The sequence below is a fragment of the Homo sapiens genome, chromosome 9 (assembly GCF_000001405.40).
Source record: "Homo sapiens chromosome 9, GRCh38.p14 Primary Assembly".
Lineage (NCBI taxonomy): Eukaryota > Metazoa > Chordata > Mammalia > Primates > Hominidae > Homo > Homo sapiens.
The window spans coordinates 70451901-70479293 of NC_000009.12; the positions used below are offsets into that span (position 1 = coordinate 70451901).

Consider the following 27393-nt stretch of genomic DNA (forward strand, 5'->3'; position numbering starts at 1 on the left):
TGAGTCGATAAGAGATGGACTGGGCAGAGATGTTGGGAAACCCTGGACTTTGTTTTTGCCAGCGAGTCCCTGAGCTTAAGTGTGGAAGCTGGAAAGAATGCTGAATGGAATGAAGCTCAGTGCCAAATAGCTGGGTAACCTTGAGAAAGTCACCCCCCGTTTCTTGGTCTCAGTTTCCTCATCTGTAAAATGAGGGTATGGACTTGTTGATCTCTAAATTGCTTCTGTGATACTCGGTATTTATTAAATGTCCTTTTCAATGTGAAGATGGTATAATTTGAAAGCTGCTCATCATCTTAATTTTTTGAAATGCTTTCTATGGACCCAGTGCTTGTCCACCTGAACCTGTTTTCAGCCATGGGCCTCCCCAAGCTATGCCCAGCCACTGAGTCAGTGTGATTACCCATAGAACTCAAATCATTCCAAGATGATTCTCTGCATCTCAGGCTGGAAGAGCAACCTCTGAGAAGGTGAGGTTTGGAAGAAAAGGTGGTTTGGCTTGGAGGGAGTTAAGTATCCTACAAGACATCTCTGCTCTGGGTGAGGGTAATTCTATCTGCTGCCTGGTGCTTCAGAAGGTGACAGAAGAAGGCTCTAAGAACTGGCAAAGACAGAGCACTTTCCAGTTACCGTGCTCACCTTGCTGCTGGGTCATGGCCGCTGTTCACAGGAGAAGTGTGTAATTATAGTTGCTGGCACCAGTGTTGGCTGCTCAGGCCCAAGCCTGGCCAATGAGAAGAGGCTTAGCAAAGAAAGATGGCCTCTGCAGCATCGTCTTTGTAGGCCAGAAATGACCAGTATTCACCATAATTGGAAGGGAATTGAAAGGAAACAGTTTAGGTAAGAGAGCCCAAGGCTGAAGAGCCAAGTAATAGATTTTATTTTATTTATTTTTTGAGATGGAGTCTCTCTCTGTCACCCAGGCTGGAGTACAATGGCGTGATCTTGGCTCACTGCAACCTCCGCCTCCTGGGTTCAAGCCATTCTCCTGCCTCAGCCTCCCAAGTAGCTGGGATTACAGGCACACAACACCATGCCTGGCTAATTTTTGTATTTTTAGTAGAGACGGGGTTTCGCCATGTTGGCCAGGCTGGTCTTGAACTCCTGACCTCATGTGATTTGCCTGCCTCAGCCTTCCAGTGTTGGGATTACAGATGTGAGCCACTGCGCGCAGCCCAAGTAATAGATTTTTTTTTGGTTTTCTTTTGTTAGAGTTGATTAAATTCAGTGGAGGAAATATTTATTGAGCACCTAATATGCATCAGAAACTATGTAAGGCTTTAGAACTTCATAGAGAACAAGGTATGATCCATTTCTTTAGGGGACGATAATCTAGTAGAGAAGTTCTTCGTAAATAACAGACATAATATATTCATTATAGTCATTCTAGTGGTGACAGATAGCAAGGGAAGGAACTTCCAGCAGGAAAGGAAGGCAGATAAGGTGGCATTTGATGTGGCCTTAGCCTCACATTTGAGTAGAACTCTGCCAGGGGGAGAAGGGAATGTATGGGCCTTCCAGGCAGAGGAGACAAAATTAGCAAAGGCAAAAAGGTGCAGAAGAACATGATGTGTTTGGGAACCAGAAAGCAGGCTGGAGATGTGGGGATGATGAGCGCAGTCAGGGGAGAGGAAGATAGAAAGGCAGGGCTGTAGACCTTGCTAAGGAGCTGGGCTTAATTGCATGTATTTTGGTGTGAGTGTTAGGGGGCTAGTAAAGGGGGCTCTTTATTAAATAGTCATGTTTGTGTTTTTGAAATATTATCCTGGAAACCATATGGAGGGCAAATACGCAGAGGGCAAGAATAAAATCAGGACACATATTAGGAGATCAAGAAAGAGAGGCTAGAGGCTGGGCCATGGGATGGAACTGATGTCTGTCTGGATGTGGGCAGTGTGTGCAGTGTGTGTGAGAGGAAGGTTTTTTTTTTTTTTTTCCCAAGATATAGGGTCTTGTCTCACTCTGGTGTCTTGGCTGGAGTGCAGTGGCACAATCATAGCTCACTGCAGTCTCGACCTTCTAGGCTCAGAGGATCCTCCTGCTTCGGCCTCCCATGTAGCTGGGATTATAGACATGCACCAACATGCCTGGCTAATTTTTTTTATTTCATTTCATTTTTGTAAAGATGGGGTCTTGCTTTGTTGCTCAGGCTGGTCTTCAACTATTGGACTCAAGTGATCCTCCTGCCTCAGCCTCCCAAAGAGCTGGGATTACAGGCATGAGCCACTGCATTTGGCCAAGGATTATTCTTGGTTTTCTGCCTCAGATAAACTAGAGAAATACCAGTTTCTCCCTTTCCCCGCCCTCCCCCAAGTCCGCCTCAGTTGGACTGAGGTGGAATCCAGCTATCTGCTTTTATAACACCCAAATACATTTAGAGTAGAGTTTATTATTTTTTTTCACAGAATAGTTTTTATTTTTTTAAAAATTTATTTTTATTGAAGTAAAATACACATATATGATTTACCATCTTTACCATTTTTAAGTGTTCAGTTTAGTGGTAATAAATACATTTATATTGCAAAAGTTTATTTTTAAGTATTTCTTATGGAGGCCTCTAAGAACTCACTGTATCTTAAAGTGTGTTCCTAAACCACCTGCTCAGAAGTTATCTCACATGACTTTTATTATTATTATTACTTTTTGCAAATCCCAAGAACCTGCGAATTATATGACTTTTATAAAAGCAGATAGCTGCATCCCACCCCAGCCCAACTGAGGCAGACTTGGGGGAGGTGAAGGAAAGGGGGAAAGTGGTATTTTTGGAACTTACTAAGGCAGAAAACCAAGAATGATCCTTGGCCAGACACGGAGGCTCATGCTTGTAATCCCAGCACTTTAGGAGACTGAGGCAGGAGGATCACTTGAGCCCAGGAGTTCGAGAGCAGCCTGGGCAACACAGTGAGACCTTGACTCTATACAACAAACAAAAAACACCCCAGTTCAGAAATGGGGAACATCACCAGCATCCCCTGGAAGCCCCATCTATGTCTCTTGTTGGTCACTACCTTTTTTCCTGTCCCCTGGCCTGCCCCCAGCAGAACCACAATGAGGATTTTTTATTTTTTATTTTGTTTTGAGATGGAGTCTCACTCTGTTGCCCAGGCTGGAGTGCAGTGACACGATCTTAGCTCACTGCAACCTCTGCCTCCCAGGTTCAAGTGATTCTCCTGCCTCAGCCTCCAGAGTAGCTGGGACTACAGACATGTGCCACCACGCCCGGCTAATTTTTGTATTTTTAGTGGAGATGGGGTTTCACCATATTGGTCAGGCTGATATGGAACTCCTGACCTCAGGTGATTCACCCGCCTCAGCCTCCTACAGTGCTGGGATTACAGGCATGAGCCACCGTGCCTGGCCCACAGTGAGGATTAAAAAAAAAAATTGAAAATGTAGGCTGGCATGGCACGCCTGTAATCCCAGCTACTCGGGAGGCTGAGGCAGGAGAATTGCTTGAACCTGGAAGGCGGAGGTTGCAGTGCTGCTAAGATCATGCCATTGCACTCCAGCCTGGATGACAGAGTGAGACCCTGTCTCAATAATAATAATAATAAAATAAAGTTAAAAAATTGCAAATGTATATGAAATAAAATCAAATCTTCCTTTATTTCTCTCTTTCCAATTTAGATTATTTTTTCCTCACCTTCCTAATATGGTCAAGTGTAGGAATCCTAAAACAGTCTTTATTTCAATATACACAGTAGTAACAAAATGTGATTTGGGCTGTCCTTAGCTTTAATTGTGTCTATATAAACTAAGCTGTGGTGGTTTATCAATCACTTCTGTAGCTTTTTGTAGCTTTTACAGCTGTGAGCTTAGAGAAAGTCCATTTATCTTAAGAGAAGTATTTGCTTTTTTGTAAACAGTGGTGCGTATATCCTGAACCATTTAATGGGAGGAAGGAGAAGAGAAAAGGCTAAATTGTAGAGCCTGGAAGTTTAATGTTGACTTATTTAGGTTCTGGGAGTCATTAGAGGCTTGAAGAGCTGTTTAGCAGGCCCTCTTTTGGAAGCTGCTGTTTTTAACAGGCTGTTAGAGTTGCGGGCTCTGGCCTTACCTTATACATGCAACACTTTCATTTGTGGAAGAAAGGAGTTGTGTGGAGAGAGGGCCTGCTTGGATGAAAGACTGGATGACCCAGATGTCTGGTCAGGTAGAGTGAGCGGTGTTAGGAGAGTTTGGTTGGACGATGTTAGGTGTTAGGAAGATTTGGAAAGGCTGGAGAATTGGCAGGAAGGCAGCAGCCTCCCACCTCTGCCATCCTGAAGGCACGCTGGGCCCCACCTCTCCCAGTTCATGTCAAGGTTTACAAGGGTCAGTGTGTTTGTGCTGTACTTGGCATTTTCACAAATTACTCTGTAGTTGTTTTTATTATTTTTATTCCAACTGTTGCTCCGGGGACTTTCTGGCAGCCAGGACTTCCAGGCCAGCTTGGAATCCCTTGCTAATTGACTCAAGCCATGAAAAGGTGCCATCAAGGCTGCTTTGAACTCTTGCCTGTTCTAGCGCTGGACAAATCCCAGGCATGCACCATAGGAAAAGCAATAATGAGACTCACACCTCCAAGTTTACAGTGCAAAACTTTGCCTGTTCAGGTGTTAAGCGCAGGGGTGAGGTGCAAGCCCAGTGGAACCAGGTTGGAAGAGTAAACAGACCTTGAGAATGTGCTTCCTCCTGGGTCCTAAGCAAGGAAGCCAGACTAGGGAGGAGGGTTCACAGCATTTCCATCAAAGCCTGCAGTTAATAGCGTCAAGTTGACCCAAATAAATTCACAGATATCTGTTATTCCCTGTGTTTTCACTTCACACCAGTTCTCCACAGATGCGACTCAGCTTGGGGGAAACTTGCCAAGAGGTCTCAGTGAGATTTTTCCTGTGAAGCTATTAGTTTTACGCCACTTCATAGAGAGAAGAATATAAAAGTAACCTTAAGAAGGTCTAGGGTGAAGGGGTACCATTATCAGGATGTAACTGATGTGTATTGCCACTGAAACATTTTCTGGTTTCATATTATTTAAAAGCTATGGCAAAGGCACCGTCAACGGAACAAAATACTTATTGACTTTTGTGAAACATCCCCTGATAGTAGAGTTTTAAAAAAGTGTTATAGCAACTGTTGTGTGAAATTGACTCTTATCTCCTCCAGTATAAGGTATAATCAGACTATCTTTCATTGATAAATTTTAATACTTTAACATGGACCTAAATCCAAGCATACCCCTTAAAGTTATATCTTAAAGAAGGGTGTCTAGGCCAGGCATGTTGGCTCATGCCTATAATCCCAGTGTGTTGGGAGGCTGAGGAGAGAGGATTGCATGATGCCGTGAGTTCAAGACCAGCCTGGCTAACATGGTGAGACCCTTTCTCAGCAAAAAAAGAAATTTAAAATAAAAAGAAGGTGGTCTATTAGGTTTTTATTAGTTTAGCAGGAGAGATGAGTCAGTTGAAATCAGAAAACAGTGTGTTCACAAGGCTTGGAAAGATTGTCTCAAAATGTAATCCTGGTACAGGGTGTGGTGGGTGGGGAGCCATGGCAGATGGAAGCAAAAGCCATAAATTAAAACAGATTTAAGAGACTTATCAACTAAATGCAAGTGTAGACCTTGTTTGGATCCTGATTTGAACAAGCCAACTATAAAACAAACACAACATGAGATACTTAGGTGTGAACCCAAAAGTATCTGAGACAGGTCTCAGTTGATTTACAAAGTTTATTTTGCCAAAATTAAGGGCACGCCCATGACACAGCCTCAGGAAGTCCTGAGGACATGTGCCCATGGTGGTCGGGGTACAGCTAGCTTTTATGCATTTAGGGAAACACGATACATCCATCAATACCTGTGAAGATTTACATTGGTTTGATCTGGAAGGGCAGGACAGCTCAAAGTAGGGGGCCTTCCAGGTCATAAGTAGATTTTATTTATTTTTGAGATGGAGTCTCGCTCTGTTGCCTAGGCTGGAGTGCAGTGGTACAATCTTGGCTTACTGCAACCTATGCCTCCTGAGTTCAAGGAATCCTCCCACCTCAGCCTCCTGAGTAGCTAGGATCACAGGCATGTGCCACCACACCCGGCTGATTTTTTTTTTTTTAATATTTTTAGTAGAGATGGGGTTTCACCATGTTGGCCAAGCTGGTCTTGAACTCCTGACCTCAAGTGATCTGCCCACTTGGGGCTCCAAAGTGCTGGGATTACAGGTGTGAGCCACCATGCCCAGCCTAGATTTTAGAATTTTCTAATTGGCAATTGGTTGAAAGAGTTATTGTCAATAGATAGGAATATCTGGGTTATGATAAAGGGTTGTGGAAACCAAGGTTTTATCATGCTGCTGAAGCCTCCAAGTAGCAGGCTTCAGAGAGAATAGATTGTAAATGTTTCTTTTCAGACTTAAGCTCTGTTTTGATGTTAATGATGGAGGATATAATGGGACATGTTTGACCCCCTCTTCCATTATGGCCTGAACTAGTTTTTTGGGTTAACTTTGAAATGCCTTTGGCTGGGAGGAGGGGTCCATTTGGATGGTTGGGGGGGCCTTAGAATTTTATTTTTGGTTTACATAAGGAAATAAGTACAGGGATATTTGATGAAATTAAGGGATTTAAAAAATTTGGATAGTAGTAATGTTAAAAGATTATTTTTAAGAGATACGTATTACAGATGAGGTATTTGTAGATGAAATGACGTGATATCTGTGATATCTGAAATTAAAAAAATATATCCCAAAGTTTCAAGGTAGGGGTTAAATGTATGGGGGCAGGAAGGGAGGTTAGAGATGAAATAAAATTGGCCTTGATGATTGTTGAAGATGAGCAATAGATACAGGAGTGATGGGTTCATGATATTACTCTTTCTATTTCTCTTTATTTGAGACAGGGTCTCGCCGTGTTGCCCAAGGTGGAGTGCAGTGGCGTGATCATGGCTCACTGCAACCACGACCTCTCTGGCTCAAGCAGTCCTTCCACCTCAGCCTGCTGAGTAGCTGGAACCACAGTTGTGTGTCACCATTCTGGCGAATTTTTTTCTTTTTTCCAGAGATGGGGTCTCAACCATGTTGCCCAGGCTGGTCTTGAACTCCTGGGCTCAAAGGATCCTCCCACCTCAGTCTCCCAAAGTGCTGGGATTACAGACGTGAGTCACTGTGCCCAGCTCTCTCTACTTCTCTGTGTTGAAAATTTTTATTATGCAAATTTAAAAAGGAAGGACCTAAATGGATGCTTACCTCTGTTAACTTTCTTTGGTAGGGGAGGGAAAAAGTAATAAGGGTTTCCTCTCAAGTTGGGCATATAATTTTTACCTTTATTAAATTCATAATCGGACAAATCTCATTAGGCTCTTTGTAATCCTATGATTCTTTGAGTATACAATTCTGTTAAGTTGTGATCAGTTGACATACTGGTCATAATAATCATTAGCACTAGTCCCACACTGGGGTTAGAGGGGCAGAAAAGGAAGGGACTATTTGCTGACTTTTATGCCAAGGGAGGAACATGGTCTGAATATTTGTAATGGGGCGGGGATTGTGGGACAACAGAGTGTTATACTTCTGGGCACTTACATAAATGTGGGTGAGAGAATAGTTATGGTTTGTGTGGTAAAGCTCATTTTAAAGAAACTCTACCTCTGTATTAGTCTGTTCTCAAACTGCTATAAATAAATACTTGAGACTGGGTAATTTATAAAGAAATGAGGTTTAATTGGCTCATGGCTCTGCAGGCTGTACAGGAAGCATAGCAGCATCAGCTTCTGGGGAGGCCTCAGGGAGCTTACAGTCATGGCAGAAGGCAGCCAGGCTGTGCTCCATCCACCTTGGGCACATGTCAGCACCTCCTGAGGCTGTGTCACCGACATGCATCCTTAACTTTGGCAAAATATACTTCCTAAATTGACTGAGATCTGTCTCAGATTTTGGGGGTTCACAGTACCTCATGGGACTTAGAGGCTGTTGGATCAATAAAATGAGGTGCCATTTCTTTTATCTGACACTGTGAGCTTTGTGATCCATTAGCGCCTTCTGTCCATGGCAATTTAACTTCATGGAAATTACATATTTGTATACAAATTTCTTCTATTATACTGTGAACCCTTTGAGGTTAAGATTTTGTTTGATCTTAAAAATAAAATTGGCAGTTGGTGGCTTCCAATATGCTAGGCCCTCTGCCATGTCCTTATTAAGAAAGCTAAGATTTCTGTTTCCTTGGAGCTTCCGGTCTAGTCGGGAGACAAATCTTAAGCAAACTCACAAACAGGATTACAAGTTGTAGTAAGTGCCATGAAGCCAATAAAGGAAGAGAATATCAGGAAAAACTAGATGAATTAATAAAGGAAGGCCTTTACTAATTCTGTCTAAGAAAAGAAATTTGAACTGAGACTTGGAGGAAGAGGGTCAAGCCAGCATGTGAAGAGCTGGGCAAGGGTGATCCAGGCCCAGGGAATGGGATGTGCAAAGGCCCTGAGGTGGCAGAGGGCTGAGAATATTCAAAGAATTGAAAGGAGGCAGGCAGGATGTGGTGGCTTATGCCTGTAATCCCAGCACTTTGGGAGGCTAAGGCGGGAGGACTGCTTGAGCTCAGGAGTTCAAGACCAGCCTGGGCAACATGGTGAAACCCCATCTCTACATACAAAGAATACAAAAACTACACAGGCATGGTGGTGCTCATCTGGTAATCCCAGCTACTCAGGAGGCTGAAGTGGGAGGATTCATTGAGCTCAAGAGGTTGAGGCTGCAGTGAGCTGTGGTCATGCCATTGCACTCCAGCCTGGGTGCCAGAGTGAGAACCTGACTTGGGGGAAAAAAAAATAAAGGAGGCAATATGAAACCAGTGTTGTGGGAAAGGGAATTAAAATGTAGGAGTAGCATATAGGACCTTCTGGAGAAAAGTTAAGTGTTTTGAATTTTATCCTAAAGGCAATAATATGCCGTGGTAAGGATGGTAGAAAGAGACATTGGCTTTGTCTGGTTTCCCCTGGAAGAAGACCAAGTCAAAGTAGTCTGTTTGGGAGGTGGTGTAAGGAAGCATCAATAGAAGAGTGGGAAACTGAGGCAGGAGAGGGAAGAAATCCAACAAAGGATGAGTTATAAATCAAGTTATCACTGTGGATAACTGAAGCTTAATCCCTCTGAAGAGTTCTGGGAACCACTTTAGAATGTACCCCTCAAGTTATCCCACTTGAGTTTGAGAGAACTGGGATATGTATTTATTTGTTATTTATTTATTATTTATTTTTTTGAGACGCAGTTTCACTCTGCCGCCCAGGCTGGAGTGCAGTGGCACAATCTCGGCTCACTGCAACCTCTGCCTACCGGGTTCAAGTGATTCTTGTGCCTCAACCTCCTGAGTATCTGGGGTTACAGGCGCATGCCACTATGCCCAGCTAAATTTTGTATTTTTAGTAGAAATGGGGTTTTGCCATGTTGGCCAGGCTGGTCTTGAATTCCTGACCTCAAGTGATCTGCCCACCTTGGCCTCCCACAGTGCTGGGATTACAGGCATGAGCGACTGCACCCGGCTGATATTTATTTATTTATTTATTTATTTTGTTTATTTTAGAGATAGGGTCTGGCTCTGTTGCCCAGCCTACAGTGCAGTGGCATGATCATAGCTAACCTCAGCCTGGAACTCCTGGGCTCAAGCGATCCTTCCATCTCAGCCTCCCCAATAGCTGGGACCCCAGATGGGCACCACACCTTGCTAATTTTGTGTGTATATATATATATATATATATATATATATGTGTGTGTGTGTGTGTGTATATGTGTGTGTATATATATATGTGCGTGTGTGTGTGTGTGTGTATATATATATATATATATATTTTTTTTTTTTTTTTTTTTTTTTTTTTTTTTTTTGCAGAGACAGAGTCTTGCTGTGTTTTCCAGGCAAATTTCAAACTCCTGGCCTGAAGTGGTCCTCCCATCTCAGCCTCCCAAAGCGTTGGGATTACAGGTGTGAGCCACTGCAACTGGCCCAGAACTGGAGTATTTATACACCCAATCCTGTAAGCCATTGCTTGAGGTCTGGGAGACAAGAAAATGTCTTGTGAGGCACAAGCAGGTATTTCTAGCCTGCTGCAAGGGGTAGACAAAACAGCTTCTTTACCAGAGAAAATCTTCTGGCAAAGAAATATGGGTTCTGCTGTCGGAAGTCAGGTTAGTGAGTACTGAAGTGGTAAAGGTAAAGATATGTGGCAGATAGTGACTGCTGCAAACATGACCCAGTTTAGAAGTTAATACTTCTCTTTCATTCTTTCAGTGAATAAACCAGCAGACCAATTCAGAGCCCATTTCAGTGGTGCAGGTGAGAGGTGTTAGAGACCTGGACAAGGTGGTGGCAGATGAAGATGGAGAGAAGAGGTGGGTCTCAGATTTATGTTAGACATGGTATCCATATCTTGGTGATGGTTTGAACATGGGGCATGAGGTAAAAGGGAATTTCTGGCCTAAATATTTGGGTGGGCCATGGTGCCATTTACTGAAATCAGATAACTGGGAGAAGGATGAGTTTGGGTCACATATTATAAATGACATCAGTTGGCACAGTTGTGTGACTTTCTCCAGCAATGCTGAGCTGGCATAGGGGAAGTGGGTCTCAGATTTCATTCATAAGCAAAGGTTTGCTGTGTGTGTGCAATAGGGGAGAGAGGGCAAGGGAGTTGAAGACATTTACAAGGGAATGGTTAGCACAATGTTGGACTAAGGACTCTAAATTCATAGACAGGAAAATGAAAGCAGGAATGAGCAGTTGGTCACAGAAAAGATGGTGGGATGTAAGCTGGAGGAATAGGAGTGTGTGGTCTTATTCACCTTGGTAGACATAGCTCCTGGCACATAGTAAAAGCTCAATGAATATTTGCAATGAAGCTGAAGTAATTATATATATTTTATTTTTTTAGAGATAGGATCTCGCTATGTTGCCCAGGCTGACCTCCTGCCTCATGCATCCCTCACCAAGCTTAACAGGTAATTACTGACCTGAGGGTGGGTGATAGATTGAATCACACATTTCTCCAGTTCTCTAGTTCTTGGATTCAGCAGTCTTTTTGAGTGAGTCCTTTGTATTTCTCTCTTCAATTTCTTCCCCTTAAGGGTCAGCACACAAGAAATTCTCTGCTTCCAGTCTCCAGTGGGGTATAAATAAGAGTTTCTGATGCCCACTCCTGAAGTTACTCTGTGCTTGTGGGAAGGTGGATCTACTATGGACTGATCTCTGGATATTTCATTCATTCATTTAGCCATCCATTCATTCATTTATCTGTTCATTCAATAAGTCCTCACTAATAACCTACTACGTGCCTACCCTCAGGCTTTTGAGGTTTAGAGATAACAAAATGAATGGATGAGTAGATGGCCAAAAAAGTTTTGGTTATTAGGGAGCTACAAATAGCACCAGAGTTTCTGAATGTGAACTTTTTGGCTCTCCGCCCTTCATACACAGTTATATTGAGACTAAAGGAGGGAAAAAGCTTTTATTCTTTTGCCTGCTGTGTTGTTTTACAATTTTATAAAAATGTACAATGCTCTGAAGAAGCTCAGGCAGAAATAAATCTTTCTATGGTATCTAAAAATGTACAGATCTATCTCTCTAAGAGCCATGGTGGGGTCAGCAGTTGCGCCCCCGTAAAGAGTGGGTTGCAGAGTTTCACCCCTTTAACGTTTTTAAAGCCACTGAGGTGTTATTTTTTAGAATGGTTTTACCTATTTAAGGGTAATGCTCATCAACCCTTCTTCAGAATTTGTGCAATCTTCCATGAGAGACACGTCATTTAATTTCTAGAATCAGCCCTGTATATTGTTTTCCTAAACTGTCTGCCACCCCCAGGCAATCTGTGAAGAAGAAATCTCTCCTCAAAGTAAAGGAAACCAGGCTTTCAGGTACTTTACTGTTGCAGGCCGGAGGGGGCAAGTCTCAGAGGGATTCACTGAGTACCCAGCATGGTGGGGTGCATAATAGATGCTCAGCAGATTCTTGTTTGACTTACGGATTGACAAAAATTTCACGAGGGCTGCAATGTGTCCCCAGTGCCTAGTATAGGGCCTCCTACTTTGTAGGTGCTCCATGAAGATGTTTATAGAATGAATGCACAAGTGAAGATTACAGGGGAAGACTGAGCTTTGGAAATCCTGCAGTGTGCTCTAGAGTTGACTCATTTGATTCTTTGGAGGAAAAAACAAACTTTTTTTCCTCTCTCTACTCTCACTCAACACTGCACACTTCCATGGGGAGAAGTGTGTGTGGGGGTGGGGTGAAGAAATCTCTACATACCAAGCAACACTCCAGCACAGCCCTGCCGGGCATCCTTTACTTCAGTTCAATTAGCCACAGATGAAGGGCTCAGTCCCACAAGACTGCTTCCCACCTCACATGCCAATCTGAAATGGTCACCTATACTTCTGGTTTTGTTTGTTTGTTTGTTTTTGTTTTTGGGACAAGGTCTCATTCTGTAGCCCAGACTGGAGTACAGTGGTGCAATCATGGCTTGCTGTAGCCTTGAACTCCCGGGCTCAAGCAATCCTCCGACATCAGCCCCCCAAGTAGCTGGGACTATAGGCATATGCCACCATGCCCAGCTAATTTTTGTAGTTTTAGTAGAGATGGGGTTTTGCCATGTTGCCCAGGCTGGTCTTGAACTCCTGGGCTCAAGTGATCCTCCCGCCTTGGCCTCCCAAAGGGCTGAGATTACAGGCATGAGCCACCAGGCCTGGCCGTCGCCTATACTTCGGAACTGCTGACTGTAAATCATGGTTCTCCTTATCCCTCCTTAGGTTTGATTAATTTGCTAGGATGGCTTACAAAACTGAGGAAAACTCGTTTATCACTTTATTATAAAGGATATTACAGGGTGAGCGAGGTGGTTCACACCTGTAATCCCAGCACTTTGGGAGGCCAAGGCAGGCGGATCACCTGAGGTCAGGAGTTCAAGACCTGCCTGGCTAACATGGTGAAACCCCATCTTTACTAAAAATACAAACAAAAATTAGCCAAGCATGGTGGTGGGTGCCTGTAATCCCAGCCACTCGGGAAGCTGAGGCAGGAGAATTGCTTGAACCCAGGAGGTGGAGGTTGCAGCGGCCAGCCGAGATCATGCCACTGCACTCCAGCCTGGATGGAAGAGTCGCATAGATATGTAAGAAGGAGCATGGAGATTCCATGCCCTCAGGCACCACCCTCCAACCACCTCCACAAGCTCCACAATCCTAAAGCTTTCAAATCTTATTGTACAACAGGTTTTATAGAACTTTACCTCCAGCTTCTTCTCCTTTCTTTCCCAGAGATCTGGATGGAGCTGCAAGTTCCAGCCCTTAGATCACTTGGTCTTTCTGGTGACAGCCCCCATCCTGAGGCTCTCCAGGGGCCCTACCCTAAGTCACCTCATTAGCATAAACTCAGGTGTGATCCAAAGGGGCTTATTATGAATAGCAAAATACACTCCTATAACTCAGGAAATTATTCCAAGGGTTTCAGGAGCACCAAATATATTTGATATTATACCAGAATTCCCCTCTGGCTCTGAACAGTAATATGAAATGATTTTAGATTATTTTTGCTTGTGTTCTTCATTCTTTTGGGAAGAAAGGGAAGAGGTTAGGAGGCAGTCCTCCTCAGCCAGTACACCAATCTGACCTGCTCCTCCTTCTGAGATGGGAAAAGTTCCCTTGTCCCCCTCGCAGAGCATGCCATGGGGCTGTGACTCGCTTCTTCAGTGCCCCCCGCTGCTCAAACCTCTAGGGGGAGCAGGCAGATGAGCAGGTTGTGGGGCTCTGACCCCACGGCAGCGTCTGGGGGTGAATGTTTACAGCTCCTGAAGCCCCAGTGGGGCATGTGTTACAGTGTGCTCTTTTAGTTTTGCTATCTGTAGGCGGCTTGTGTTAATCAGCTCAATTAGACACTCTGCCTTATTGCAAGGACAGAGGGCTTTTCGTCTTGGGGTTCTTGCCTTAGTGTATCGGAAAAATTGCATCACATGTGGGCACAGTTAAGTGTTTTGAATTTTATCCTACATACAAAAATACATGGAGAATGAGTGCAGGGTTTTATTGAATGGTGGAAGTAGCTCTCAGCAGATGGATGGGGAGCCAGAAGGGGGACAGAGTGGGAAGGTGGTTTTCCCTGGAGTCTGTTGCTCAGTAGCCAGACTCAACTCCAACCACCCCGGCCAAATTCCTCTGGCTTCCTTGTTCCACCGGTGGATGGCCTGCCAGGGTCTGCTGGAGCCTGCCAGTATGTTCTGCCCGTGTGCTCCTCTTGACGTCCAGCTGCTTGTGTCTCTACCCACTAGGGTTTCGGGGGTTTTTATAGGCACAGAATGGGGGCATGGCGGGCCAGGGTCATCTTGGAAAATGCAACATTTGGGTGTGAAAACAGGAGTGCCTGTCCTCACCTAGGTCCGTGGGCACAGACCCGAGGGTGGCTCCCTCGCCAGGGACCCCACCCTTCTCCTCCCAGCACTTCCCTGCCCCTGCTCCTGTATCACTTCTTCATTCTCTACCTTGTGGAATGTGCCGCTTCAACCATCACTGAAGTAAAAATCTCCGGTTTAGTTGTTACTCCTTTCCTTCATGCAAGAGTGCCATGACCCAAACTACAGAGGGGCAGCTGTAAGGAGAGTGAGTACCAGAAAGTCAGGAGCACGGTTCGTGGGAAGAGGAAGAAGATCGGGGAAAAAGAAGAGCATCGTTTTATTTTTTTCTTTCTTTCTTTTTTTTTTTGAGCCAGAGTCTCGCTCTGTCACCCAGGCTGGAGAGCAGTGGTGTGATCTCTGCTCACTGCAACCACTACCTCCCAGGTTCAAGTGATTCTGGCACCTCAGCCTCCTGAGTAGCTGGGATTACAGGAGTGCACCATGACGCCAGGCTAATTTTTGTATTTCTATTAGAGACAGAGTTTTACCATGTTTGGCTATGCTGGTCTTGAACTCCTGATCTGAAGTGATCTGCCCACCTTAGCCTCCCAAAGTGTTGAGATTACGGGCAAGATGGAGTCTTGCCACATTGCCCAGGCTGGTCTTGAACTCCTGGATGCAAGCCATCCTCCCACCTCAGACTCCCAAAGTGCTGGGATTCCAGGCATGAGCCACTGTGCCCAGTAAAGAACATTATTTCCTGAGCCTTTCAGACAACCTCCGCTGTTACATGCAGCTTGGTTTGTCTTGACTCATGTTGGGGGAGGGCTTGCTTACCACTCATGATGTTGCTTCCATGTAGCAGGGCCTTCTATTACAGTAATATTCTGGACTTTCCGTATCCTTTGACTCACCCCTCCCAGGAGAAGATGGGTGACTTAATAGAATGATGAGTTTTGTAGAGGGAAGTGAGTTGTGTGGCTCAATTCCTCCCTCTCATGGGCCTGGCCAGCCAGCAGAGAGCCCCTATCCTGCTCTGCTCCAGTACCACTTACCTTTGCCTCTGCTGGGGGCCTGCAGGCCTCCAGAGCTGCCTGTGACTGGGTGGGTGAGTCTGTCTGATTCTGGGATTTAGTATTAGAAAGCTCAATCTCGCTGCACACCTACGGCCTATCTCCCCACCCAGCCTTTATGAGTAATACGGGTGGTGTTTCATCTCCATCTGCCTGACTCTTGTGACTGTCTCAATTGGTTCCAAGCTTGGGTGGAAAAGGGACTTCTTCAAATCTCAACAGCTGAAGTCTAGTACTTGAGTAGGAGTCGGGGCTGATCTGGTTGAACAGGCCAGGAAGAAACAGACTGCATTTCCTTGGCTCAGCCGTTACACAGTTTGCACTGGACAAATCCCATTTTCTTCTTGTGCCTGCCTTGAGGACTGCCATGCACTCCCTGACAGTTGCTGTTCCCTTCCCTCCATGGGAGGTTAGCCTTTGCTGCTGCTGTTTGGCTGCAGCAGCTGCAGACCTTTCTGCCAGCATCTTCTGCTTGACTAACACCATAGATGGGGAAGGAGACTTCAGGAACAAAGAGCTAGAAGAGCGGGCAGAGGCTGGGCATGGTGGCTCACACCTATAATCCGAGCACTTAAGAAACACAATTTAAGAATCTTAAGTCAGATCTTTCTATCACAGGGTTGCGGTGAACACAAAACCTTCTCCATACATGTCCCTGCCTAACCACAATTTAAGCACAGTGTTTTGTAAATAATGGAGGCCAAGGCAGGAGGATTGTTTGAGACCTGAAGTTCAAGACCAGCCTGGGCAACATAGTGTGACCCCTGTCTCTACAAAAAGTACAAAAATTAGCTGGGCGTGTTGGTGCACACTTATAGTCCCAGCTACTCAGGAAGCTGAATGAGGCAGGAGGATTGCTTGAGCCCAGGAGGTCGAGGCTGCTGTGAGCTATGATCATGCCACTGCACTCCAGCCTGGGCAATACAGCAAGACTGTCTCAAAAAAAAAAAATTCAATGTCAAAAGAGACAAGGATGAGACTGTTTTCACATTTCTACTGTCCTCACGGTTAGTTCTTTGAATCAAATCCCTCTTCCAACTTGGGATCTAATTTCCTTGGAAAGAGAGTATATGGAAAGCAAGAAGTTAAGGACCAGGGTCCTTTTTCTGACCACATTGCTGGCTGTGTGGCCTGGAGCACCACCCTCCTTCCTCTGCCTGAAATTCACTGCATATTAAGTACAGGTTGGGGGTGTGCTACATCGGTTCCTCTTAGTTTTGTAGAAGTACACTCTCACTAGAGTGCACAATCTATATTGAGTATGCACTGTGTCCTTGGCACTCTATTGGGTGCTATGAGGGACACAGGAGTGAGCCCTTCACAATTGCCTGGCATCTCTGGTAAGGGATGTCAGCTTCAAGCTTCGGAGAAGCTGCTTCCTAAGAATGGGACAGATAAAGTACTATGGAATTTTGATAAACCAGAACTGATCTCTAAAACTTTCTATTTAAGTCATCAAGCATTTACCAGACAAATTTCTTCAGGGGAGGGCCCCATACGACTCTTGTCTGGTTCTCACCTTGCCTATCCCAGGGAAGTTAGTGGATATGTATTGACTGTGTTGGCACCCATTATTTACAAAACACTGTGCTTAAATTGTGGTTAGGCAGGGACATGTATGGAGAAGGTTTTGTGCTCACCACAACCCTGTGATAGAAAGATCTGACTTAAGATTCTTAAATTGTGTTTCTTAAGTATTTACCTTGGTCCTGTTTTCTTTTCTTCTCTTCTCTAATGACTTCTTTTCTTTTTTCTTTTCTTTCTTTCTCTTTCTTTCCTCTTTTCTTTTCTTTCTTTCTTTCTTTCTTTCTTGCTGTCTCTCTCTCTCTCTTTCTTTCCTTTTTCTGTTTTCTCCTCATGTGAGCTTTTTCTCTCCCTCCAAAACCAGTCAGATGGCTACATCTAATGGGCCTGTGGTTCTCTTGCTAGAAACACAGCACTTTGTAAAACTTGTTTTGTATTAGATTCCCTTAAATGTCTACATGTGGCACATGAGCAGGAGGGCAGTGACATCCACAGAAGGCCTCAAGGCTGGAAAGGATGGTCTTCAAGTGTGAAGTGCCAAGTGAACAGCAGGGAGCTCTGCCCCAACTCTTGCTATGCATGGATGGGGACTCCTGAGGGGAAGGCAAAATGGCTCTTGGTCTCTGGTGCATGCATTTGGGTCTGAGCAGCACTTATTCCTACTATTGTTATTAATAATTTTTTTTTTGAGACAGAGTTTTCCTCTTTTTGCCCAGGCTGGAGTGCAATGGTGCGATCTCAGCTCACTGCAACCTCCACCTCCTCAGTTCAAGCCATTCTCCTCCCTTAGACTCCAGAGTAGCTGGGATTACAGGTGCATGCCACCATGTCCGGCTATTTTTTTTTTTTTAAATTTTAGTAGAGATGGGGTTTCACCCTGTTGGCCAGGGTGGTCTTGAACTCCTGACCTCAAGTGATCCACCCACCTCGGCCTCCCAAAGTGCTGGGATTACAGATGTAAGCCACCGTGCCTGGCCTGTTTGTTTTTTGCCTTGTTTTGAGAACAGGGTCTTATTCTGTTATTCTTAGGCTGTGTGCATTGGCACCATCATAGCTCACTGCAGCCTCGAACTCCTGGGCTCAAGTGATCCTCCTGCCCCAGCTGCTGGAACCACAGGCACACACCACACGCCCAGCTTGTTATTGATGTTTCTGATAATCTAGGCAGCTAAAATTTGTATCACCCTTAAGAACTTACAGACAGGACTGTAAGATGTGAGAAGGTATTAATATGGTCACTTACAGAGGCTCTGAGAGTCTAGGCCTTTTGACCTGGCCTGTTGACTCCAATCTCAGTGTTATTCCACAGCCCCAGAGTTTCAAGATAGCAAGAAGCTTCTCCTCCCTTCCCTCCATCCTCATAAGTCATCTGCCTTGGAGGACCTAAAGCCTTGGATTTTCCAGACTATTCCACAGCTTCTTGGAGATAAGCTCATGAGAATTGCCTTGAAACACACACACGGTGATTTTTGTGCTAGATACTTACTTTTTGGTATTTCCTGCTGGAGCTGGGCTTGGGTGGAGTTCCCTTTAGAAGCGCCAGAGTTTTCCTGTTTGTGCAGTTAATTATCAAAACCTTAAATAAACTCTGTTATGTGTTCAGAATAATAACAACTCAACAACTATTCATTAAGCACCTACTATGAGCCTGGCACTGTTCTAGCAGCTGGGGATACAACAGTGACCTCAGCCGACCCTGCTTTCAGAGAGCTCTCAGTCTGGTCTGGGACACAGATTAGTAAACAGGCATTTGCCTTCCACGTGGTAAATGCCATGAAGGACAAAGTCCAGGGTGTTGGGGACGGGAGGTGTGGTACAAATAGCAGGCAGCCAACCCAATCTCAGAAGTGACAGGGCTTGAAGGGGGGAGAGGGGTGTGTGGTGTGCCAGGAGAGACTTCCCAGAGCCAGAGACAGCTAAACTGCATGCTAGATATAAGAAACTATTTCTTGTAGAATCTGTTCTCAATTATCTGCAAGTAGATTATTCCGGTAACTTGCAAGAAAACTTTTTTCAAGTCTCTTTACAGTGGCTTGAGCATCTCAACTTCCTCTATTTATGCTGCACGTTAACGCAGAGGCATCCAATCTAATGTAGGTGGAGGCACAAACTGGAGAGCCTCCTTGCAGGAAGGTTTGGGATTAGGCGAATCACTGCATTTCCTGCTTGGAAAAAGGAGATGGAAGAAGTGAAGTTAGGCAAGATAAGCAAAGTGCTTCCTGGATACAAGTAATTCAGGTCTTTATAGGAAACTTTATTATTTCATTCGAAGTGTCTTTTTGGGATGTCAAGCAGGTACATCTCTGTTCAAATTACATAAAGCAACAAAACACATTCCAGGGCCACCAGATGTAAATGACTTGTGCATTATTCTCTTTTTAGATTTTCCTTGCCATTGTTTCCCTCCACTAGTACACATGATAAAGACCAACTTCTTGCCAAAAGAAAAAACGGGGTGGGGTTGGGGAACAACACAAAGGCTTCTGTGTGTCTGGTCTTTGCTGTTTCTTATGGTTAGTCTTGGATCTACTTTTGACCTCTTGGTCAGGCAATAAAATGCCTATTTGTTTAATTTTAAAATCAACTTTATTGAGGTATAATTTACATACAATAAGTGCACCCATTTCAAGCATATAGTTCTATGAATGTTGAACAAGTATACACCACTGTAAACAACTCCATAACCAAGACATTTATTATCTTTTTCTTTCTTCCTTCCTTCCTTCTTTTCTTTCTTTCTTTCTTTCTTTCTTTTCTTTCCTTCCTTCCTTCTTCCTTCCTTCCTTCCTCTTTCTTTCTTTTCTTTTCTTTCTTTCTTTCTTTCTTTCTTTCTTTCTTTCTTTCTTTCTTTCTTTCTTTCTTTCTTTCTTTCTTTCTTTCTTTTTCTTTCTCTCTTTCTTTCTTTCTCTCATTCTTTCTCTCGTTCTGTATCCCAGGCTGGAGTGCAATGGCGCCATCTCAGCTCACTGCAACCTCCGCTTCCTGGGTTCAAGCGATTCTCCTGCCTCAGCCTCTTGAGTAGCTGGGATTATAGGCATGCACCACCACACCTGGCTAATTTTTGTATTTTTAGTAGAGAGGGGGTTTCACCATGTTGGTGAGGCTGGTCTTGAACTCCTGACCTCATGTTCTGCCTGCCTTGGCCTCCCAAAGTGTTGGGATTACAGGCGTGAGCCACCACGCCCAGCCGATGCTGACATTTTCAACTTCCAATAGTTCTTTGGTACCTTTCGCAGTTGCCCCCATGCCAGCCCCAGGTACCACTGACTTGCTTTCTGTCACCATAGATTAATTTTGCCTGTTCTAGAATTTCCAATAAATGGAATCATACCATGAGTATTCTTTTGTGTCCAGCTCTTTTGTTTTTGAGATTCATCCTTCTTGTTGTAGGTATCAGAGTTCATTCCTTTTTATTTAAAATGCAGATTTTTGAAGTAGCAAACCAATTGCTCAGCAAGATGACCAGACCTAGGAGGTCCCTCTGGTCTAAAAATTCTATCAACTTGCACAGGAAATGAAGGCCTGAGAATTACATCAGGTTAGTACAGATCACATTGAAGAAGCAGCCGAGCACATGAATTTCTGAGCTCCAGGAGCCCAGGAGGACAGGGAGAGATGAAGCCCCGGTGAATGATAGAATATATTACAGAGGATGACAGGGCTATTTGTTCAGTTCCGTTATGAGCTCAGCAAAATGTGACAATCCTGGGAAATATAAATATATATTGCTATATTTATATGTGTGTTTGTCTCGGGAGGCCTGGCGGGGAGTGGTGGGTGGAAGAGTGGGTTTCCTGGAGGATTTGAGTAGGCAGAGATAACTGGGCAGAGCAGAGTCTGTGTCAGGCTGCATCGATACATATTCAATAAATAAACATTACAATGAGAGCTAATACTGCTTGAGCACTTATTATGAGTCAGGCACTGTGCTCTGTTCCTTACATGCATTGTTTCATTACATCTGTACCTCCCTATGTACCCTATGTAACCAGCGTCTCAGTGCCCTGCCCACACCCCCTTGTGTGCTCTTGCATAGTCCTGTACGCCCTCATTACTTTGTGCTGTGCACCCAGCAGCCAGCATCGTGGCTCTGTGTTGGAGGATGGTCCTTGAGCTACTAGAATTGCTTTGCTTCTCAGTATAGAGAGCAGAAGTGCCTGGGACTTCACCTGTGACTACCAGGTACTGTGGGACGAATGCTCCCAGCTCCCCATGTGACCTCTCCTGTCTCTGGCACACCTCTGCGTGGACTTTATTTGATTGTCAATGTTGCTTGGACGCCTCTCTTCCCTTCCTAGTCCCACTCTCTACCTCCTCTACCAGTTTCCTTTAAGGACACTTTTTGTTTTTTTCTTTGTTACCCAGACGAGAGTGCAGTGGTGCCATCTTGGCTCACTGCAACTTCCGCTTCCCAGGTTCATGTGGGAACACTTCTTTTTTTTGTTTGTTTTTGTTTTTGAGACAGAATCTCGCTCTGTCGCCCAGGCTGGAGTGCAATGGCACAATCTCAGCTCACAGCAACCTCTGCCTCCCAGGTTCAAGCCATTCTCCTGCCTCAGCCTCCCAAGTAGCTGGGATTACAGGCGCACGCCTCCACACCCAACTAGTTTTTGTATTTTTAGTAGAGATGGGGTTTCACCATGTTGGCCAGGTTGGTCTCAAACTCCTGACCTCATGATCTGCCTGCCTTGGCCTCCCAAAGTGCTGGGATTACATGCGTGAGTCACTGCGCCTGGCCCTAGGGCACACTTTTTTATAAATCACCTCATCATGAGTCCTTATCTCAGGACCTACTTCTAGGGACTCCACACTTGGGCAAGGTACTGTTAGTACAGTCATTTTGCAAATGAGGAAACTAAGGCTGTTACACACACACGCATCTCCATAACTCCTGCTCAGCCTCCAGATGAGCTTTCTCAGGCACCCTTCCCCAACCCATTTGTCTAGGTAATGTTCCTTGCTTATGTTCTACTTTTTTCTCTTTTTCTATTTTATTATTATTTTTGAGACAGGGTCTTACTCTGTCACCCAGGCTGGAGGGCAGTAGCATTACTATAACTCAGCTATAATGCAGCTTTTTTTTTTTTTTTTTTTTTGAGATGGGGTCTTGCTCTGTTGCCCAGGCTGGAATGCAGTGGCATGATCTTGGCTCACTGCAACCTCCGCCTTCTGGGTTAAAGCGATTCCCCTGCCTCAGCCTCCCAAGTAGCTGGGATTACAAGTGCCTGCCATCATACATGGCAAATTTTTGTATTTTTATTAGAGATGGAGTTTCACCATGTTGGCCAGGCTGGTCTCAAACTCCTGACCTCAGGTGATCTGCCCGCCTTGGCCTCCCAAAGTGCTGGAATTACAGGCGTGAGCCACTGTGCCTGGCCTATCATGCAGCTTTGAACTCCTGCTCTCAATCCTCCTGCCTCAGCCTTTTAAGTAGCTGGGACTATAGGCATGTGCCATCATGCTTGGCTAATTAAAAAAAATTTTTTTTTTGTAGAGACAGAGTCTTCCTTTGTTGCCCAGGCTGATCTTAAATTCCTGGGCTCAAGTGACCCTCTCTCCTTGCCCTCCTGAATTGCTGAGATTACAGGCATAAGCCAGGAAACCCAGCTACTCCGCTTATGTTCTCAGATTCTTCCTTGTTTCCCTTTATCTTGGTGCTAGATTTACAATGATCTGGGTGATTATCCCATCAATGACCATCTCCCCTACTAGAGTGCTGGCTCTGGGAAGCCAGGATCCATGTCTTTTGCTCTTAGCTGTATCTCTAGGACCCTGGCATAGTTTCTAGAACATAGTAATTGCTTAGTAAATATTGACTGACTGAATGAATGATCTGAAGTTTCTCCAGTTTCCTCACAGGCGCTCACTGGTCTCCTGGATAAATACTTTTCAGCCTTTGCTGAGAAATGGGCTGGGAATGCATAATATAAAACCCCTGAGAGGGACACAAGGTCTCCCTCCTACTGCCAGTCTTCTGGGGGTGTTTAGAGAGATGCAATGTCCAGGGCAATGTGACAGTATTTTACTCCAGAGGACCAAAATTTAGCAACTAGAAGCTGATTCTAGAGGGTGGGCCTTGAAAGTTATGTAGAATTTGAATGGATGATTAGGAGGAAATATGAAAAACATTTTAATGAAATACTATGTCATTTAAATACACACACATTCTGAATTAAATACACATTCTTGGATCCCTGTTCTTCTCAACAAAAGTACACTGAGTCTCCAGTTCTCATTAGGAAGCTGATAAATATCTATTTCCTTCTATTCCTGCCACAGTAACTCCCCAGCTATATAAAATTTACAAACTGCTTTGGAAGCATTTGTGGAAAAAAGTGCCAGAGCTCTGTATGTGATTATTGAAATAAATGCTGATTGAGAGATTTCCCAGGTGGATACTTAAAACAGACATGGGCACATATGTACACTCACACCCCACACACAGGATACTTTAGGCTGTGATCAATGGAGATAAATTTTCCCACCTGACAGTTGACTGTAAATCAATCAGTGGTTTTAATAGTCACCAGATTTCTGCTCCTGTTTGCTGCTGTCTCAGGCAATCATTCACCCGCTGGGACACAGGACCTCAAGGATCTTGGCTTTTTGTCATCACTGCACATGGAGACATGGTGCTTAGCAGCAAGGTAAATATTGTCATACTGCGTATGTGAGAGGCAAGAATAAGTAAGTCAGGACATCCTTAGAAAAGTTTATCTCTGGATCCCCACTTTCCTTACCAATAGACTAATAGGAAGTCATGAATTTCCCAGGTTTTTACCAAATCAAAAGATTTTCATGACACTGTATAAGCTGGAAAGTAGTTGAGGGTCAGTAAATATCGAATGAATAGTTTCGAAGGTGAACATGCACTCCTGATTTTTGGGTTAGATTCTTGAACTTGCCCCTCCTGACTTTATTATCCTGTCCATCAAGGTTTGCTTGGAGTTACTTGAACAAGCCAGGCTGTTCCACACCCCAGTACCTTTGCATATGCTGCTCTTGGTGCCTGGATTGGAATGCTTTCCATTAATCCAAGTGGGCTGAGGACATCTGATCTTTCGACACCTGGCACCAGGATTGTCTTTCATCTCCTTTATGAAGTTTTTATTGACTGACTCTCCCACACCCAGAATGAGCCACTCTATCCTGTCCAAATTTGATTGCACATATCTATTTAATAAGATGTGACTGGGACCTTTGGGAAGTCCCTGCTCACACCCTGTACCCACGTGGAAGCCATAATCAATGCTTCACTGCAGCCCACTTGCCCCCTTGCTACCTCTCAAGCCACCCCGAAAGCATTTCAGCTATGTGGATTTGACTGAAATGCTCACAAGGGAGAAAAGTGGAGGGCTTACACTGAACACCATATGGCCAAACTTTATACAAATCCCCGTTAAAAATCTTCCTTCATTCCCAAAGCCTTTTCTCCCACTGCCAGCTGCCTTATCTCCCCTATCCTTTCCAATCCTCCTCTCTCCACTCTCCTCCGGCTGCACTGGCTCCAGCCTCCTTCCACCCCTGGATTCTTCACCACTACCTCAATCCCATTTAGCAATTTAGTGCACTCACCCTTTCTCCTTCATTATCTGGCATGCTTGAAGCTTTAGGTTATGTTCATCAGATCTCTTTGAGATCAATCCCTCTTAAAAGACAAGGGTATTGTAAATAGGCAACACATATATTCTCCTCCTGCTAGAGACTGGAGCAACTTGAGGGCAAGAATCAAGCCTCATATACCTTTGCATCTCTAATGCAAAATATTTAAAATGTTTGTGAAATGAAGAAAGAAATAAAAGAATGTAGCCACCTATTAGAATCCATAAAGTTCTACTCTAATCATGGTTTTCTCCCGTTTGAACATTTTCTACGTCTTCTCAATTAATGCCTTGGCCTCAACTGCCATTTCTCCTTGACTCCAGCACTCTGCTCAGCAATGATGGACCTTCTTTCCCTTAAGCCCACACTGCATATTCTTTCCTTCAGGTGTTCCTTTGGGTTGTCCCTTCATGCCTGGAGTAATCTATGTCATTTATGAGGGTGATTGGTGGTGGGTTACCATCACCCTATTGAAATTGAAGGTGGATGTAACTCGTCTGGTCTTGCAGGTCCAGCCAAATCCTTCCCACTCTTCAAGACTCAACATAGGCCTTACCCCTCAGGATACTTCATTGAGGTCTCTAGCCCAGGCATGAATCTCTGTTGAGTCCTTGGGATATATATAAGCCTTGAAAGCACCCACTCTAAGGGCACTTAGTTATTTGGCTTGCTCTGTTGTGGAATGTGGGGGATGAGGCTTTGAAGCCATTCCTCTTCTCAGACTATGGTCATTATTAGGGCTATTCACCAAATTTTTCAAGGTTTCCTCCACTTCCAGACTTGTGGTAGGTTTGTATATAACTTGGCATTGTGTGTGGCCGATTTGCTTTGGCCAATGAAATATGAGCAGAATTGGCATGAGTCCCTTTGGAAAAGAAGCTTACAGGGGAAGAAGTGTTAAGAGCTGGTGAGCGATCGACCACACTTTCCTTCCCCTGGCATGGTGATTAGCAATGTTTGAGATATGTGGCAGATTGCCCATTAGACTGGGTCCTCGGGTGAGGACCCAGCTGATTCACAATGGGCATCTGGTGAAGGCAGTAAACATACCTTTTTTTCGTTAGGCCATTCAGATACAGAGGTTATTTGTTACTGCAGCACAACCTATCCTATTCAGACAGACTATAATTTCCTTGAGGGCAGGAGACATGCTTAACTCACCTTTCTATCCCCTATAGAACATAGTAGAAGATCTTGTGGATGTTCAATAACTATTGCTGATTATGTATACTGAGATAGGGTAAACTACATGAGACTGGAGAGTGGGACTTGGTCTCAGAACTTCAACTTGAGATCTCAGTCTCTAAAAAATCAAGATAAATATACAAGATGATTCTACCTGTATTCTAATAAGAGTCTCTGGAGCACAATTCTGAAAAACATTTTCTTTTGAAAAAACTTTTTTAAAAATGAAAGAAGATTCTTGCATACAGGGAGGCAGAATAGTGTAATCAAAGGAATCTGGGCTTTCAACCTTGGATAGACTTGGGTTTAAGTGCCAGCTCTGCCATGTCCATGGCTGCATGATCTCGGACAAGTTATTTAAGCTCTTTGAGTCTTGGTTTCTTATCTATAACAGGGATGATATCAACACCTACTCTACAGGATTACTGTGGGGTTGAAATGAGAGAATGTATGTAAAGTACTTGATACATTATGTGTGATCAACAAATGTCATTCTGTTAGGTCTTTGCTCCCACCAGGTGTGTGTGGGTTGGTGCAAACTCTTGCTTAATTCTCTGAGAACTCCCCTTCATTTACTCCTTCTGAGATCTTGGTTACATGCCCAGTCCCTGGATTTATTTAGCTTGGTCCAGGTCAGATCCTTAAGGTTTTGCATTTACTGCCCCAGGCACACTCTGGCCTGAGAAATTCCATCTACGACTGGCTGGAGTTGGCACTAGCCCTTGGCAAATAACTTCAATTGGGAGAGAAGTGTTTTTGAGACAGGCTCTTTGCTGCCAAAATTTTAAATAGGGCCTTCTGTGAGGGAGGTCTGGTCAGGGAAGTGAAGGGAGGTGATCTCCCCAGGGAAGAAAAAACTTAAGGCCAGGCATGGTGGCTCAGGCCTGTAATCCCAGCACTTTGGGAGGCCAAGGTAGAAAGAGCCCAGGAACTCCTCAAGACCAGGAGTTTGCTTGAGCTCAGGAGTTCGAGGCTAGCCTGGGTAACGTGGCAAAACCCCCGTCTCTACAAAAAACTAAAAAATTAGCTGAGCATAGTGGCGTGCACCTGTGGTTCTAGCTACTTGGGAGGCTGAGGTGGGAGGATTGCTTGAGCCCAGGAGGTTGAGGCTGCAGCAAGTCATGATCACTCCACTGCCCTCCAGCCTGGGTGACAGAGTGAGACCCTGTCTGGAAAAAAAAAAAAAAAAAGAATTTAAGATATCCCAGTGACCAGTTCCAAGAAAGCCCCACCTGGGCCTGAGCACTGGCTCTAATGACAGGCGATTGATTACTCTTTGAACTCTGGGATCTGTCAGTGATGGTGGCAGGGGAGTCTGCGAAATTATCCTCAGTGACTGACTCCTTGGGCCACAGGCTGGGGCATGGTGTGGTGGTCCAAGGGCTTGTGTTCTACTGGACTCTTGGACCTGTGAACTTGTGTTTAGGGGTGGAAGTATTGTCCCTGACTAAGTCCTTGAGGCCAGCTCCCTCCTCCTCTCCCATGTAGCTACAGCTGTGGTGTGGCATGGCCAACCTCCCCAAAGGTGCTTGTGTAACTTGTTTTTCAAAGTCTTGGCAGGAGCTCTGGTCCTGAAGTGAGAAAGGGAAAGGGTGTTTACATTCTGGAAGAACAGTTCTGAGAAGTGTCTCACATCAGGGCTGTCCCTGAACAATCCTTGTTCCCCAGTATCTC

General features: G+C 44.6%; 2 long non-coding RNA genes across 6 annotated transcripts in view; one reads left to right on the forward strand and one right to left on the reverse strand.

The window, feature by feature from the left end:
- Positions 1-27393, forward strand: part of KLF9-DT (KLF9 divergent transcript) — a 136304-nt gene that overhangs the window by 37711 nt on the left and 71200 nt on the right. For 4 of the 5 annotated variants that reach the window (XR_001746707.3, XR_001746710.3, XR_001746709.3 and 1 more), the window contains exons 2-3: positions 10249-10349; positions 10889-10955. This is a non-coding gene — a long non-coding RNA (KLF9 divergent transcript). Of the gene's footprint in view, positions 1-10248; positions 10350-10888; positions 10956-23491; positions 24895-27393 lie in introns of those variants that run through there. The other variant, XR_001746711.3, reaches the window with a different exon arrangement.
- LOC105376079 (uncharacterized) lies at positions 14499-18649 on the reverse strand. Its single transcript, XR_929917.3, has 3 exons — positions 18574-18649; positions 18419-18482; positions 14499-14589 (listed from the first exon to the last, which is right to left on the reverse strand). It is a non-coding gene; the product is annotated as an uncharacterized LOC105376079 (long non-coding RNA).